This window comes from Homo sapiens, chromosome 4 (genome assembly GCF_000001405.40).
Source record: "Homo sapiens chromosome 4, GRCh38.p14 Primary Assembly".
Lineage (NCBI taxonomy): Eukaryota > Metazoa > Chordata > Mammalia > Primates > Hominidae > Homo > Homo sapiens.
Window position 1 is genome coordinate 59,756,669 of NC_000004.12, and position 16,392 is coordinate 59,773,060.

Below are 16,392 nucleotides of genomic sequence, written 5' to 3' on the forward strand. Positions count from 1 at the left end.
CAACTTGTGGTGCTTTTCATAGTAGCCCCAGGAGGCTAATGTAATGAATAAGGCCCTTTTCAGTACATCAACTGTTTTCTTATTCAGTCACCATAGGCCTGAAATCGTGCAACTGACAAAGATCAACTGAGTCACACAAAGTCACGCAGCAAGTAGAAAATGAGAAATTTGAATCATATTTTATAATTCTCAGCCCAGTGTTCTTTGAAAGAATAACACAAAATGAACTGCAAAATTGGCATTTGTGTGCTTGTCTAATAACTTACCCACAGTTTATAGAAACAATTTTCTTCTGAATTCCAAACTATGGTCTTACAATGAGACTTTTTATTAAAATCAATTTGGCAATTCTAATTACTCATACTCGAGACTTTGATTCTAGAACTAGAGAACAATAAATAAATAAATAAAATTCATGGGTAAACAGAATAATGTTCATGTTTTCTTTCTGTTTACTTTCAAATGCAAAAAGAGAAAATGAATAATTTTAAAGTAGTGTTTTACCTGTTCTAACTTCTCGTGGTGCATAAAATAGTGACTAACACAAATAGAGTTCTCAATGAACTTCAGTTGAATGAGTGAATGCCCTATCCTGTTAACCCTTTACATATACTTATTTTGGATTAGAAAAGGCAAAATAAACTCTCTCTAAATGTTTTGGCAATAGAGCAAATGCAATTCAAGGGAAAAAGAGCAAACACAAGAAGGGATGTATAGTATGTCTATTCTTTAAATGCACATTTTAGAAATATAATGTTATATCTCTATTGTTATATATCAATGGGTCCTAGTTATATGGACAACAGGAAAATGAAATGAGTACTACAAGAGGAAATAGAAACATTTTTATGTGGGAGTTTATGTTCTGTGTTTTGCGCTGTTGCCACATCTCTTAATAAACCAAGAGAGTTTGTATCCACATTTTACCAGCATGTCATTTAACATAAACAACAATTAAGGTATGTCAAGAAAGATGCCTATGTTCTAAAGCTGCTGTTATGAATACACAAAAGACACATAAGGCCCAAACCTCCTTCAGGGTTATAGAGGTGTTCATTCCAACATAACCATTATGGCTGTTGTTCACCAACTAGGGATAATTTATATACACATTTTTGGTTTATATTTAATATTTGAGATTGGAGCATCCATGAAGATTCAATTGAAAGCAGCACTGTATTTCAAGTTGATTTAATATCTCCAATTAGCATATACGGAAAAGGGGCAGGCCAAAATGACATTTAAAGAAAATTTTTCAGTGGTTCTTTTCCTCCTCCTCAGTAAGTTTGTTTTACTTCATGACCTCAGTATTACAAAAAATAAATGAGCAGAACATTGACTGCAAGACTTTGTCATGATATTTCCTATGTGCAATGGCTAGGCAGGAAATGTTCATTTCATACACCATTTGAGCCTAGCTGCAGTGATTTCACAAAAGCCAACAGGCTTTGAAAAGTTAATAATAAAGAAAATTTGTTTTTGTTATTTTGAGAAAATACTTAACTGTTTAAAACTAGAGATCTATGGAGGTTGGCTAGTCATGGGGAAGTGCAAAATTTATTTTATTTTATTTGGCAGTGCTTATCTATATATTACATTGAGAAGAAAAAAGTACTGAAAGAATAATAACAGAATGTATATTTTATCAAGAATAAAAACATGAAGTATATGTAATATGTAACCATACAGACACTATTCATAAATAACATATTTCATATAGCCTATTTATAGTCATATAATGCAATGGCCATGTATTGCTTTTAAGTAAACACATGAACTTTGCTATCAGGTTTAATTTACTTACTTAATATTTATAATTACTTACTACCTATAGTCATATAATGCATTGGCCATGTACTGTTTTTAAGTAAGTATATGAACTTTGCTGTCAAGTTTTAATATATTTATCTAATTACTTATCTTAAAGTACATTTATTAGTATCTTCTTTCAACAATAGAAATTATTTGAAATATAAAAAATAGCTGTAATTTGTAAGGTTATTTTATATTATTGATAATATCCTTGGAGATTATTTCTATATCACACTGAAAAAAGTTTTCGTTGTTGTGATTTTGTTACAGGATCTTTGGAGTGTCATTTTTCTGGCTGGAAACCTCTATGGCTAGTGGTGCCTTTGCCCAAGTTCTTTTCCTATGTTCAGGAAGAATGAGGTAGGCAGACAAGTGGAGGGTAAGCAAAACAAAGAGTAGCTTATTGAGTGTTAGAACAGCTCAGAGAAGACCTGCAGTGGGTAGCTCCTCTTTGTAGACAGGTCATCCCATCGAGTGCTCAGCCCTGGAGGAGGTCCTGGAGAGGGGTAGCTCCTCTCCGCAGCTGGTAGTTCTGACATCTCTGCAGGTCTCTGAAGCTCTCAGCAGAGAGGGTAGCTCCTCTGTGCAACTGATCATCCCTACGTCTGCTCAGTTCTGGCTGAGCCTGGGGCTTTTATGGGCCTCAGAGGAAAGTAAATGCACATCTATTGATCCATGGGCAGACCGCAAAAGGCACCACAAGTTCCCACTTTAGTCTGTGGGTCTGGCAGCCAGAACTCCAGTCATCAGGACCTCCCTGGCCTGAAGATGGGGCCTCAATGGGGACTCACCGCCTTCTGCCCAGGAATCTGTCTTCCTCCTGCCTCTGTTTATAGTGCCCGGGATCAGCCCTGACTTTACCCTAGGATAGGAGTGGGTGCTGACAGTAGGAAGGAGCCAGGCAGTGCAAGCTGGCACTTTGGAGGCTGTGAGGGCAAAGAGACCTTCCTGGGCTCCCAAGTGTTCAGGAATGCCTGAGTCTGCAGCCACCATTTGGACAGCTGCAGCTGTGCCCAGGAACGCAGGACTCCTGCTGGCTCCAGGCCTCCCAAGAGCAAACAGGGGCTCCAATCCACAGTCACCATTTGGGTGGCTGCAGCCCTGTCCAGGAGGGTGGGGATCCGGCCTACTCTGTGGAGTGGGAGGCCTGGGTCTACAGCAGTGGTTTGGGCAGCTGCTGTGGCAACCGTGGAGCTCCCGAGGCACCTGTGAAGCTCCCGCCCCAACTGGGAAGGGGTGTGGCTCCCACCAGCTACATGGAACACACAGCCTCAACTACCTCCAGCTTGAAGGCAGAGGCAGGCTATCTAGAGCAGCCACTGCTATCAATTTTTTTAAAAGTAGGAGGTCATAGGTACATTAAGTAAGAACCCAGTTTTGATATGTTAACTTTGACTTCAGTACTAAAACTGTCTATGATGTACTTCCAGTTTGCCTCCTAAATGGATGTCCTAAAAGTGAGCTGTTCCTCTGACTTAGTCAACAATAGTCATTTTTGTCTAAAATCTTGCTGAAGCCTCCTAATTTCTCTGCCTCCATTTTCCCCCCTTTTCCTGACTTTCCTCTGGCTCCAAGTTTTTCAGAGAGATTATTCTCTAAGGAAAAAAACCTCTTCCACAAGTCAGAATTTCTCTTAGCATCAGGTTTCCTATAAAATGAGTAATGAATATACACCTCCTTATTTGTTCTGCTCCTTCACAGCCAAGCTGTTCATTTTCATCTATTGCCATCTCCCTTTATTACACCTTAAATTACACTTAACAAACATTTAGGCTTTCTAAACACATTCATAAAAGTCCTCAACACTCTCTCTCTATTTTTTTTTTGTTTTTGGTGTGTGTGTGTGTTTTGATATAGAGTCTCCCTCTGTCGCCCAGGCTTGAGTGCAGTGGCGTGATCTTGGCTCCCTGCAACCTCCGCCTGCTGAGTTCAAGCTATTCTCATCCCTCAGCCTCCCCAAGTAGCTGGGACTACAGGCATCTGCTACCAAGTGCAGCTATATTTTTTTTTGTATTTTTAGTAGAGATGAGGTTTCACCATGTTAGCCAGGCTGTTCTCAAACTCTTGACATCAGGAGATCCACCTGCTTCAGCCCCTTAAAGTGCTGAGATTATAGGCATGAGCCACAGCTTCCAGCCCACAATTTATTTTTTTAATTCAATTCTATACACATGATTTCTGTCCTATTTAGAATTATATTCTTACATCCCTTCCCCCAAAGCTCCTACTCATTATTTGAGACCTAGTTTGAATGCAAGGTCCTCTATTAATATTTTAAAATTTTCCAACAGAAAGGCATTTCTCTTTCTTCTTATTAATAATATTTTACATCTACCTCGAAATTACCCCTGATTATACAATGCATTATTTTGCTTTATGTAGTTTTGTTCCTAATAGTGGCACTACCCTTTACACTTTCTATCAACACACAGCAACTAAGAAGGAACCTGTGAAAGCAATATTCTCCCTTATCTCACTGAACGACTTCCTTCTAGATTTAAAGAACTCTCAAAAATCTATCTATATTTTATCTTTCTCATTGTATTTTTATCACCACAACAATCTCATTAATAACTGCATATTACTTAGCATACATTTTATAGTTAATCCTTTGTTTTTCAATATTTATTCAATTGTGTGTACCTACATAAATTTGATCTAAGACAACATTAATGTTTCCAAATATGGAACTGTGTTTATAACCGATGCACGTTACCAAATTAATTTTCCCATTTGGTAGATTGAACAATAATTTGACATTGGCACTCTCCTTCGTTATCATGTTCAAGATCATTAACAATTTTAGTATTTACAGATTATCATCTGTAATGGAAAACATACACACAAATTAATAGGAAATTCTAATACTTCAAGTAAGATAAATAATATCGTTTGTAAACAAAACGCTTTTAAAATAGGATAGGCAAAAAAAAACTCTTCATTTCTTTACCTGCTTATTCACATTCACTACTACTAAAATTTTATTGCAAAATCATAAACTATTTGCCTTCCAATTATTTATATTGTAAAAGGATAAACCACAAAAGGAAAATGATCCTAACATTCATAAGGTACCATCTTTTAGATATCTTTTAAAACATATACATTAAATAGTAATCAGTTTTTTGCAAATTCGTATTTAAAAATTTATTTGGCAACTTCTGAATCTTATATTTATAACAGGTGCGCTTTTGGCTATAAGTGTAGAGATGAATACAACTAATGCTTAATGATGCCTACCATGTTTCAGGCTTTATGAGAAGTGTGGAAGTGAGATTAATGAAAATTAATATATAGTGCTTAGGGTCAGTCATTGAGGATAGAGTTGAGTAAGGACGACAGATTCTGATAAAAAACCAAATACGCATCACATAAATATAAATTTTAGAAGGTCACGTGCTATGAAGAAACTGAGAGGGGTGTGAGAAAACAGGCGTGGCATGAGCCAATGTCATTGGGCTTGGTAACTGAGGGAAGGCCACACCAAAAAGATAAGTTTCAAAAGAATAACTGAAAGAAAGCATGGAGCCAAAGTAATGGTGGCTCCAGGAATTCTTCAGATATCCAGAAGATAAAGCAAAGGTAAAATAAAACTTTGGGAAATATTGACAACTAAAAGTCAGGACTGTGATTGAGCAAATGCGGGATGTGAGAATATTCTAAGGTTAGATAGAGGTGAGATGATGTTGGAAAGGTAGGTCAAGGCAAGAAGTTCCTATTTCGGTAGAACCAAATAGAAACTCATTATAGGGCTTTCAGATGAGGAATGCTTGATTCTACCCATAACTTTAAAAGATTAGGTGATAGTTAAAGAAGTTGAGGTGAGAGATGATATTATCTTTTCTAGGATACAGGCAGAGGGTCAGATTAAGGTAATTTGGTAAGTAAAACACACAATTTTTACTGATGGATTAAATAGTCCTGGAGCATAGAGAGAACAAATCATTAATAATTACCATGTTTCTCCTTTGTAAATTTATAAGACAGCGGGTAAAATATCAAGTTGTTGATTGTATATAAAGTATTATATATCAGGCAAAATGCACTTTTTTGATTCGTCAGCACATATGTCGTATTTGAAGCATTGATTTTCGATGTGATTGCCAAAGGTGAGGGTGTGTGAAGGTAACAAAATGTTTCCAGCATCAAATCTACAACATTTAGAGATTCAACAGAGAAGGAAAGACAACAAAGGACACCAAGTTAAAGTATCAGAGATTAAATAAAACAATCATTAAGTCAATATTATTTGTATTTTTGATACTTTCATATGATAAATTAATATGCTTATATTCATTTTTGCCATGTCAACTTCATATTTATCTACTGACACCTTCCTTTGAAAGGTAAGATTTAGATAACAGTATTCATTCACATACTGATAATCCCTTTCTCTCAACACACAATTAGAAGTTACTACTTCTAAATCGTGTATTGATTGCTTTTATAACTATAAGGAGTTTTTGTTGTTATTGTTTTAATATTGTTTCATCAAACATAGACAGTATCTATTAAGGAGTCCTCAGTCTGTAACATGGGAATGTGATATTTTCTCCCTGTTATGAGCTGAAAGCTAGTGTCCCCCTCAAAATTCATATGTAGAAGTCTTAATCCTCAATATGATGGTGTTTTGAGGTGGGACCTTGGAGAAGTAATTAGGAATAGATTAGGACATAATAGTGGGGCCCTCATCATGGAATTAATGTCTTTATAAAGAAGAGGAAGAGACACAAGAGCTTTTTATCTCTATCATATGAGGATACAGCAAGAAGGCAGGCATCGGCAAACCCAGAAGAGAGCCCTCATCAGCACTCAATATGCAGGCACCATAATCTTGGACTTGTCAGCCTCCAGACTGTGAGAAATAAATGTCTGTTGTTTAAACAACCCAGTGTCTGATATTTTGTTATAGCAACTCAAATGACTAAGAATTTTCTTAATACCACTTACAAATTTCTGTCATTTATATTTTTGGTTACCAAATTTAAAAGTAATTCCATTCTGTTCTATAAGATTTATTTAGTAATTTCTGCTTTGCTTTTCACCTAATTACAAAATTTGGAATTCAAAATTTATATTATTTTCATTATATAACCGTTCAAATTATTTTCTATGATTATATCTCCTTTTTTACATAACTTTTTCATGGAATTTTATATGGCTTATATTTTCTGACATTATTCATCTGCATTATCTCCTCAATTACTTTTCAAAAAATTCTCCAACACTAGTTATTTTAAGAAATCCTCTTTTTATGTGTGTACATATATTCACACACTAAAATATATTTTCAGCAGATGCCTCCTTTGTGGAGGCCCACATTCTCCTGCTCACATCTGATAGCTTACCTTTGAAGATTTTAGCATAGCTGTCATCCTGGGACTCTCCTTCATTTCTTTCTTAGTTGGTTCCACTCTCTCCTCAATTCCATTGTCTTTACAGTTTACTTCTTATTTACAGCATAGTGTTAAGTTTCTCAAATATGTATTATTTTTATTGCACCATTATAAGAACATCACCTGTTGAAAATTATCCTCTTTCTCATTACTTTTGTTATTTTTCTAGGCATTATCTTCCCAATTTTTATAGATTACTTTTACTTCATAATTTTATGCATAATTTATTAACACACATTTTTATTATCCAATTATTTATTGTAGCTCATGTCTTATTATTTTTATAGGTATAGTAACTTCAACATTTTCTGACTACAATAGACTGGATTCATAAAAAACTTGAAATAGTAATTTTTCAGAATCGAGGCTGTGTCTTTTCTCTTGCTCTACATGAGTCTTTTTTCTGGTTCTTTTCCTTTTTGGCTATCTTTTCATTTCTCTTCTTTTTTTTGTATGTTTACCATTTGTTTCAAAATCTTATATGGTTTAAAATTGCGTCCATGACAGCCTCATCTTTCAAATATATGTCATTTTACAGACCAAGAAATCATAGATAATTAACTGATTATATATTACCTGGGAAAAAAAAAATCAGATTGACCTATTTGAGGAAATGCATCTATCAGACTGGATGTAGGTAGTTAGTGTCACCTTGCACTTAGGATATTTGAAAGAAGAATCACAGAAAGGGGATCATCAGTGGATGGATTATGGAAAGTTCTTGAAAAAGGGACACTGGCCAAGTAGGAACTCCAAGGCTTCTGCTACAGCTATTCTTGGGAAGTTACTCCTTATACAGCATGCAGAATGGAAAAATCAACATATATGGTAGGATAAATTATTTTAGAAACTGTCCTCAAGCAAGAATTTCATCACATTAACTAGGCAACCTTTTCTTAAAGGGCCAGATAGTAAATATTTTAGGTTTTGTGGACCATATGGAGTCAATTGCAACGACTTTGTTATTGTAGCAGGAAAGCAGCCACAGAAAGTAGGTATATAAATGGGCATGACCTTGTTTCAATAAAACTTTATTTTCAAAAACAGGCAACTGGCTTGCTGGTTAATTTACTAATCCTATAGAACTGAGGAATAAAATATATACTTTGAGGGATTTGTTACAACTGCGTTTATCCCTGTGCATAAATTAAAAGAGAAGGATGTTTAATGCTATAGAGGCAAACACATTTTGGCAAAGTACAATTAGAATTTTAAATTAATTTGAATATTGCCAAATTAATTTTCTCTAAAAAGGCAATTATAAATACTAATTTCTGAATTTTTGGTATCATTTTTCAGATATTCAAATTATGGTAGAAATAACCTTTTCTTTGTTCATCATTTAGAGACAAATGTATTCTAAATTGTTTAAACTATTTTTTGAAAGGCTAATTATGTGTTGAAGCAAATCTAAAACTGTGGTAAGTACTTAGGTTGTAAGACTTCCAATATGGAGAAAAAATAAGTACTCGGAGTTTAGATGAGAATGCTGGAGCAGGAGAGACAGAGACAAATTGGAGGAAATTTCTCTTTTAAGTAACTAACATATGCCAAGAAATACAGAAATTAAACCATTAGTTTGGACATGTAAAAGCTGATATTACCACCTTCCCTCCTCAAACTCTTACACACTAAGCTGGTCGATTAGACACATGGAGTTGAGAACTGGACATCATAAGGTTCTTCTGAAAGAGGTCTCAGTCAGCATTGATCTATTAATGACTGTGGCTTGTGGGAAATCTAACATGATGCTGAAAAGGAGTGTAGTGGGAGATTATGGAGGAGTTAGGAAAAGTGAGTCAACATTTTTCTTGTAGAAAATTCAAAATTAATAATTGTTTCTTCTAATCACCCAGATATCTGTGTAATGATATAGACATATAAGGTGAGGATAATTGATGGTGAACTAATATTTCCTGGATTCAATGGAGTTATCGAAATGCAGAATAGGGCTTATATTATCAAAATATTTAACATTATTATGATCAATAGATAAATTATTTTTCAATGTTGCAGAATAAACTAATTTCAAAAAAATGTGCTTAATCTGAGGCTTTATATCTATAAGAAACAAGTATTCATTATCAATAAAATGTTAATAAGTCTGTGTGATACAGTTTATCATATTAGCTATAATGGATTGTTTTTCCCAAGTTGATAGTGATGTGTTTGCTTTAATTGGGGTTATTATGAAATCTCTTGTGTATCAAAGCAGCACAACATCTTCGATAACAATCTTAATGATTGATCATAGTGCAAAAAATTCATGTAGTGAGCCAGATTAAAAAAACTAAGGTGGTAGAAAATGGAATTTGTTTTACCATTATATCCAAATGGAGTCACCACTTAGACTATTCTCTTTTGTTTTCTACTTAGTGTTTTATCTGAGGGAAAGGTAATGATACAGGTGCAATTAGTGTCAACTGGGGGTTAAATAACCATATCAAAACTTCATGGATTGTATAATATACTCAGATCCCTTAGTATGCAGTTGAATGTTGGTCAATTGAAAGAGAAATATTGTTTTATACCATATGCTCATATTAATTAAATTTTGCAATGCATTTAATTTGGTTAATACTTTCCCTAGGGAATAAATAATCTTGTTTTTGTCTTACTGGAGAATGAATTTCTTTCATATTTCCTATAAAATGATTGAATATTGGAAGATGCTACAAGCTTAAAAACATAATTTGCTACTACAGTTTCTGCTGTCACAATTTCCATGTAAAATCACAGTGAATTCACCTTTCACTTATTAAAGTACTAAATTTACCAGTAGGCAAACAAGGGTATGTAAGTGCTATGCTTGATATATGTAGTGACTAAATTTTGTTTTATTGCATCTATATACATATGTCATTAAAAGTAAGTCATATTACACTTCTATCTCAAGAAATTGGTCCTATTTCTATGACTGTGGTGGCTTTTAATGAGAATTAATCAGTAACAAACAAGGGCACTTTCAGAAGAACATGACTTCATAAGAAGATGACTGGCCTCTCAAAGGGCAAAATTATGTTAATGTTTAATAACTTAGTTAAAATAAAGAGGACTTAAATACCTAATTCAAAAAATCAAAATTTTTAGGCTGAGCGACAGAGTCTAATATTGTTGATGATGATGAAAATAAAAAGACTATTTTAAGTGTTCAATATGCAGGGCATGCATGATGACTCATTAGGCAGAGAAAATTATTACTGCCCATTAAAGAATTAGCTCTCATACAAATGGAAAAGTTGATTAGTGAACCTCAGAGTGGCTGGTTCCTAAAATTATAAAATTAATGAATATATGAAATATTTGATTTCACACATAAATATCCATGAAGATAAATTAATTGTTTTATATAATAAAATCATTTAGCTTACATGCTGGATCAAATATTAAATTTGAAATCATAATATAGTTTTGGATCATATTCATCCATGCCAATTTAGTAGCAAATATTATAATATTTTTATAAATTTTCAAAACTTATTTAAATGGAAAAATCTCATAATAACAATGGAAATATTACTATTAAAATAATAGTTTGTGTACATATTAACTGAGGGCTAAAAATGTTTTTGAGATCCACATGGTCAAAGAGTTCCATGTATCCCAGATTTATATTTTAGAATTATAAGAGAAGAAAGACAATGAAACGTGCTGATTAGATTTAACTATGAAGCAGTTACTAAGATAGCCAAAATCATAGAATATTTTATGAAAAACAATCAGTAAACCATATACTTTTCATTCATAATATACCATAACAGATAATATAAAACAATACTTAGCAGAATGTAACGTCTTTAATCTTTTAATTGTAATGAACATATCAGGGCTTAAAACAATAAGTTATTACATAATATTTTCTTCTTTTTAATGGCAAAATCTAATGTCAGCGTTTTGGATTTTTTCTTTTTCTTTTTCTTTTTTTTCTTTCTCTTTTTTTTTTTTTTTTTTTGAGATGAAGTCTTGCTGTGTCACCTGGGCTGGAGTGCAGTGGCACAATCTCGGCTCACTGCAACCTCCGTCTCCTGGATTCAAGCGATTCTCCTGTCTTAGCCTCCCAAGAAGCTGGGACTACATAATGGCACCTGCCATCATGCCCAGCTAATTTTTGTATTTTTTAGTAGAGACAAGGTTTCACTATATTTGCCAGGCTGGTCTCAAGCTCCTGACCCAAGGTGATCCTCCTGCCTTGGCCTCCCAAAGTGCTGGGATTACAGGTGTGAGCCACCATGCCCGGCCCAATGTCAGGATTTTGTGGCATAGCATCTATACTGCTGGAAGTCTTGGAATGTTGGAAACATCATTAGTTATTGAAGTGTAAATTTCTGTTTTAAGAAATTAATGCTGCTTCAGTTTGCCTGTAAAATAAGAATAAAAATTTTTATTCCATAATTTTGATATGAAGCATCTTAAGAAAATGACTTGGGGAGTCACAATATTAACAATAACATTTATAAAATTTGATTTTTTTTTGCCATCTCAAAGTCAAAAATTCTACCTGGGTAAGTTTTTCCTATGTTCCCATGAGATCATATTGAGATAATTGGATTTTTCTTGGGTGCCATTCTCATTAGATCAGTCTGTGGACCCTAGCCAATTATTCCGTATATCCTTTTGCAAATTCATGTCTAAATGAATACTGCTCAGTCTGATAGTGCCCTAGTATATTACTTTGTGAAATTAACCAATTTACATGTACTTGTTAATTATGAACAGTTAGAGCACTAAACATAGGAAACCATGAAAGCACTATAGATTGTGATCTTTTTTTGTGTATTGTGTAATTTTTTTAAAAAACTGAATAGCCCTTTTTGCACACTGAAGCCAATACTAAATCATAAAAGAATTATCTTAATTGGAGCATGTTAGAAATTCAGATTAAACTGAAACTCAAAATCCCGGTTGTAAAACTTGCTTAACATTCAGTTGTTTCTCAATGAATAAAGTAAAGCTTCATGGGTCACTATTTTCACTAATATTGAGTGGAGAGGAAGAGAGGTATCAGATGCTCATTAGGAAGTAAGAGGCATTATTAATGCAAAATATTGCACACATAACAGGCACTCAATGTGATGCGTTAAACATAATATATACAAGGGAAAATGGAAGAGTAACTTCCAGCAGCTTGTACATTTTTGGAAGTTATCTGGATGTTGTTTTCTTTCTTAAAGTATAATTCTAAAAAGATATAGATCAGAGGAGACAGAGGATGAGATTCTATTAGCTCTCCAGTGCAGCTTTACTGAGTTATTTCTTCTATTACATACAAAGGATAGGGAAAGGAAGAGTTACTCCTTAGTTGGCTTATTTTTCCAAACACAACACACTGAAAAAGTAAGAATGTGTGTACTGAAAATATTTTTTATTCCTGAAGGAAAAGTAGAACTTAATTGATAAAACTAAAACATTACAATTGTTTTATTATAACTGTTTTATCCAAAATATACATATATTTTAAATTATCTTTTCAATGGAATTTGTATAGGAGGATACCTGATTTTTGCCAATATATGTTTTATTTTAGCCTTAGGATGCTCTCTTTTGATTTGAATATAAGAAAGGATCTGAATGAAGGTGAATGTCTATGACTGTGACAGATGTTCAGAACTAATTGTTGCATGAGATTGGAAGATATTAACTGTTAATCTAATAAATAAACACTATTTTTCATCATTTGTCACAATGCACTTACAAATGTACTTTTTTTCTTAGAAAAGTTAAAAAAAGATGCAAAACATAGTAATGTATTTTAAATGGTGTTCCAAATAGAAATGTTATGCATTCATTTTAAGACAATATGGTATTTTAAAATGTGCCAGTTGATTAAACTTTGGATAATGCATTGACAGGTTACATACACTTTCTGAGGATGAGTGAATTTGCACTGATTTCTGAGAAGGAATTGGCATTTTTCTTTCTCTGAGTTTTGAGAGTCTGAATATACTTGAAATTCTCAAAAGAATGTAAATGAAATGGAACTGGCTATGGAGTAAGATGTTCAAGACCAAAATAGAAAATGAACTCACTCAGTGATGAAAATCTAGATTATTTCTATCTAACATAAAATTTCTTGTCAGAGGTAAAAATCAAGAAAGGAAGTTACATATAAATTAATAGCTATGAAGTACATATAGAAAATTATGCCTGAATTGTAGAAGCTAGTGAAACCAATTTGAGATAGGTTTAAGAGTATAAGGAAAATGTGTACATGATCATTGTTATTTCTAGCCCTTGAGGTGATTCTACTTATTTTTACTTCTTATCTCTTCTTTTTTTCCTATTTGTATCATTATTGTAGGACTGAAGTTTCCATGTCCTTGTATGTTAAAGTAAAAATCATAAAATAAAGGCAAAAAGGACAAAATAAAAGGAGGAGGGAAAGTGAGAGAGAGCGCCGCCATAATTTATGTCATTCTTATTTCACTGAGAAATGATTATTTTTTCTTTATTGCTTGCTACATGAGAAATTTTTTTCTGGATAAATACTTCAAAATAAACGTTCTCAGATGGTAATTGTTAAATGTGATGGTACGACCACTAGTGTATAGGACTACATCAAATAGTAAGATGTAGGCCACCTTTTAACTATCCCACAAGAGTAAATTTTTATATTCAAATTGAGGTGTAGTAACAAATTATAGTAAGAATTACTCTGCTTACATTGTACATTTCTGTTTTAATACTATGCATGACAGAATGTGTGTGTGTGTGTGTGTGTGTGTGTGTGTGTGTTTCTGGTTCACTTATAATATTCACCATATAATTTCATGAAGTGGGGGTAGCTTTGCTTCAACTCCTAACATTTCACAAAACTTCCTAATGATGAGGCAGAATAGCATTTTTCACTTATTTTAAACTTTTAATGATCATTTTTCCCCCAATACTTAGCAAAGCAGCTGTTTCTCTCTGAGACTGAAACTTATGCCAAGTTTAAAATGTTAATGTTGAGCCATGTGCTGAAGCATTAAGTATCACCAATTTCCACACTGAAAGATCTTGGCAGTTCTCAGTCACTAAATAAACTTAGAAGCCAACTTACAACTCTAGAGAAAAGAAAAGGAATTCAGCTACTTATCTTCCTCTGGATTGTGACCTCCCTAAATGGACAACAATACTAAGGATTCTTTTAATAATCTAAAATTAATGGAATGTTTATTGTACTGGCTGACCTAAATGGTTGGTTTTAAAATTAACAAAATTAGATTACTGAGCAGGCTGAAAAGAGAAGGATAATTATAAATGAGTGTGCATACCAGGATGAGACAAATGATATTATGAGAAACAAGTAATGGTTTTAAATAAATTAAAGGTTCTTAACTTGGATAATTTTGGGTAAGCCATAAGATAGCCTTTAAAATATTTAAAGATTACTATAATTTTCATAAAAGTCTTCTTATTTCCAGGAAAAAAATCTCCAGACTCTGTGAACCTTATCTTACATTTGTTGTGTCTTTCAAGTCTTTTTTTAAATTATCATATTTTAAAATGTATTACTTGGTGTACATTTCTATAAAATATAATGTATGCAGATAGTCATGTAATGAACTTGTATAATGAGAATACAAAACAATTCTATTACCCCCAAAAAAATCCTCACACTGTTCGTCTAAAATCAGATCATCCCCCAATACCTAAACCTAATATTAGTATTTGGTTAATAGTGATGGATCTATGGTTTTGAGACAGTCATATAATTGAAACCATTTAATATATAATTACCAAACTGGTTACTTTCACTCAGTGTAATGCCTTGAAGGTGAATTCAAGTCGTTGCATGTATTCATAGTTTATTGTCTTTCTCTGAGGAGGATTCCATTATTTGGATGTAGCAGACATTGTGTATCATCACTTGTGGAAAGACATTTGGGTTCTTTCCATTTTTGAGTGATTGTGAATAGAGTAGAATAAAGAATAGGTTTTATATGAACGTATATTTTCATTTCTGTAGGGTTAAGCACCAGCAGTGGAATTGTGTCATATAGTTAAGAAAGGGACACATTTTTATTGGACCTTTTCATGAACGTAATGAAAATGACAGAGGAAAGAGTCAGAAAAGACAATTGAGAAAAATTGAGAATAAAATTATTTACATTAGAAGTTTCTAGTGAAGAGTGAAATAGAAACATTTTAGATGCCCTAGCACCAGACGCATGGAAAGATCTCAAAAAAATGTTAGTTTCTATGGACATGTAACAAATGCAATATATGAATATTAATAAAAGATACTAAAATCAGTGATTTACATAATTCTCACCTATTTAAAAACTGAAAATGTCTGTGAAGGAATTTAAAACATGTAACTATGATACAAATTATGTTCACTATGTATGTTTTTCATTTATTTTGATTTGATTTTACACAAACGGGAGATTCTAGTTGTCCTTGGTGTTGGGTGCTCTAGGACAGTATAGATAAGAAATACAATAGACTATACTCTACAAATTTGATATTTACATATGAGAAATTCAGCAAATAAACAATCATATAGATGTTTGTTCTTTGGAAAACATCAGTCATTTTTATTAGTAAATAAAATGAATTATTACATTTGAGTTTTTTCCTGCTATAATTTAGTGGTGTTTAAACATTTCTACATATATCCCATATCGTGCCCCCATTTACAAGAAGACACTAAGTATTATTCTAGTATAGTTTCTAACAATGTAGCATCATATATCATGCCTGAAAAACTGCTGTTGGCATGTGTGCTTATTTTAAAAATCAAAAATTTTTCATTATAATTACACATTATAAATACAATTCTACCAGTGTGTTGAATGCCTATGAGAAACTCGGCCAGAGTCCTGCTCAGGCCAATGGTGTTACTGCATGAATCAGGGTTGTAAAGAGATGCCAAATGTGGCTCCCTGTGCATAAGCATCATTTGAGAAGGCTTTCTCACTGCTAACATTTGCATGATAAATTTATGGACTCTGGGTTTACCAGCTTGATTGAACACATTGCATTTTGCTAAGAACAGCATGTGAACTAGCACAGTCAGCATCCATATACATCTGGGAAAACTGCAACCATTAGAACTGTGCCATGGGACTGAAGACAAGAAAAGCTTTGTCAACTGTCAGACATTTCCCTCAACTATCTCTTTTACAGGTGATGAATGAAATGTGTTGCTAATATTCAACATACTATTTCATATATTACTCTCTGGACTTTGATTGTTCCA